At 33.5% G+C, this 2725-nt stretch overlaps 1 annotated feature.

Annotated features, from left to right (window-relative positions):
- Window positions 611–1222: an enhancer, noted in NCBI's record as "OCT4-NANOG hESC enhancer chr2:147578911-147579522 (GRCh37/hg19 assembly coordinates)". NCBI's record gives its function as "activates a minimal SCP1, AML or CMV promoter by ChIP-STARR-seq in primed H9 embryonic stem cells {active_cell/tissue: H9 hESC(primed)}" and the evidence as "EXISTENCE:reporter gene assay evidence [ECO:0000049][PMID:30033119]".

Genomic DNA, 2725 nt, shown 5'->3' with positions numbered 1-2725 from the left:
TGGGTATTTATTCTGGCATTTAAATATGCCTTGACTGTAAAAATGATTGTCTCTAGGAGAGGTATAATTGTTGTTGGTCAGTTAAGCTGATTAACACTGAAGGTTTAAAAATAAATATATTATCTGCCCTGATATGTCACCTTATGTAATAGCACAGTTTTAGACTTTATGGTGTATGTGTGTCTATGTCCATATCACAACATATCCCCTATCTGAAAGGGCAGGAAATATGTTTTTAAATTTAATGTCTACCTATTTTCCCTCCTAGCATGCTCAGAGGCTATTGTGGTTTTAACCTCTATTAGGAATTCTTTCTCAATTGACTCACACATGGTATTGTTAAAAATTTCAGGGAGTTTGCCACATTTTGTCTGGGAGAATTAGGGATGTTAAGGGTTAAAAAGGACTCTAGAATCTTAATATGTGCCGTAATGTATTACTGTTTTATGATCAGCTATTACATGTAGTTATGGAGTTAAATTTCCACACTTTGTTAAGTGAGCCCTTTGGTAATCTTCTATCAGTCTTTATATTCCAGAATATTTATAATCCCTTTGGGTATAAACACTTTATTCATTTCTTCCTCTGAGTCATGCTCCCATACCAATACAGCAGCAGATGTCCGAGACAATGTGGTCTCATTTGCACCCCTGTGTTCAACACTGGTAGTGGTTGCTATCTGGGAGAAAAAAAAAAAAATTAGCCACATTTTACTCTCAACTTGTATCAGTAATTTGGGTTTTCATGAGTTTGGTGTGTTGGTTCTTTATGCATGGCATAAAAATAAAAAGTACAAGTTCTTTCTATTTTTTTCCAAACGAAAGATAAATTGGATTTAGAAGCTCATGCCTAACTAAATGCTTTTGTCCACAGACCTGCTAACAATGGAAAATACCTAAGAATAGAAGGGAAATAAAAATAAATGGACCTCATTAAAACTTCTAAGGGATACCTGTGGCTATTTGACTTCCTCCCATACAGGGGGGTAAAGTTCAAAAAGTACAGAAAGTCCCAGGCTGTTGTCAACAAAACTATCACAAGACATTTTTGGAGGATTTTAGGTTTGTCATGTCTAAATTAACTTTTGAATGAAAAATAAATTTTTGTTAACTTTATTTTAACAGAAGATTGTATAATAAACCTGCAAAACCAATCATTCACAATATAAGACTCTTCAAAGGAGAAGGGGTTATGAGTGTGTATAAAATCTGTCTTCTGATTTTTTAACAAATATTTTTGCCAAATTTAGCTTTGTTGCTCTGAATTCATTGATTCTATTGCTATTTTTCAAATGAGTCAGTATACGTAATTTTAGATTTTTTTCAATTTAAAATAAATACATTTTAGGGAAGTTTCCCAGCTTGTGAAGTTGTAGATGTTACTGTGAAATAGTTGTCATTTTCTATTGCTAAAACTAATATCAATACGTTTACTTTAAAAATCAATGCTTTTATGAAATGCCAGAATTATAGATGTGCTTATATATTGTAACACTAGTAAAAGAGACTCAGTAATGTACATTTATTACCCTCTTTCTATTACATTCAAAGCAGATATTTTCTGAATATTTTTTAGATTTAAAGACACTTGCTCCTCCTGAATTATTTTAGTCCATCTCCAGGGAGTTCTTCTGTTGCCGACTTATCGGATGTGAGACAATTTACATGCTATAAAAATAAGTGAAAGTAATGTGATGTGTCAGATTTCTAGTGGCGTATGAGTCATCATCCTGTTGGCATGGCATGAAGTTTCACAGAAAAACAATCTTTTATTATATTATTGCTGAAAATTAATTAAAATTAAAGCCTTTTTTAAAAAAGAAAAAACATGATAGATTTAATTCCTAACTAAAAATGAAAAGCTTCTTTTGTCTCTTATTATGCATTTATATGAAAATTGTTCTTCCTCTCTCTATTACTTATTAGTTAATATATATTTGTTAAGCATTTGCTATGGATAAGATTGGGCACTCGGTAATGAAATTGCAAGGAGTAATAGATAACCAATAATCTGGCCAGGCGCGGTGGCTCACGCCTGTAATCCCAGCACTTTAGGCGGGCGGATCACAAGGTCAGGAGATCGAGACCATCCTGGCTAACACGGTGAAAACCCATCTCTACTAAAAATACCAAAAAAAAAAAAAAAAAAAAAAAGAGCCAGGCGTAGTGGCAGGCGCTTTTAGTCCCACCTACTCGGGAGGCTGAGGCAGGAGAATGACGTGAACCCGGAAGGCGGAGCTTGCAGTGAGCTGAGATCGCGCCACTGCACTCTAACCTGGGCGACAGAGCGAGACTCTGTCTCAAAAAAAAAAAAAAAAAAATAGATAACCAAGAATCTATAGATTGTAACTGATCATTGACTAAAGAAATGATACACATATCAAGAGTGCTAAGAAAGTTGAAGGAAAAAGAGAAAATATCCAACTAGGGTTTAGATGGAAAGCTTAAAAAGATTCCAGCAAAGAAACCACCACTTGAATGTAATATAATAATACAAGAACAGGCAGAGAACAAAAAAATGCACAGCTAATATTTACCCTACTTCTACTATGGGCATTAAGCCACATTAGGAGACTAAAGAAAATGTTATCTATTTATATTGACACATTTTCTTCCAAAAAGTTAAAATTATCAGTAAGTCCACTTAAATAATGGATTCACATTTAATATTGTTAATGATAACCCTTTCTTTAACTGTAAATTATGCTTTTTGCTTTGAATTAATG

The sequence above is a fragment of the Homo sapiens genome, chromosome 2, assembly GCF_000001405.40.
Source record: "Homo sapiens chromosome 2, GRCh38.p14 Primary Assembly".
NCBI lineage: Eukaryota > Metazoa > Chordata > Mammalia > Primates > Hominidae > Homo > Homo sapiens.
The sequence above is the reverse complement of the archived record's forward strand: the minus strand, read 5'-3'. Positions and strand labels throughout refer to the sequence as shown.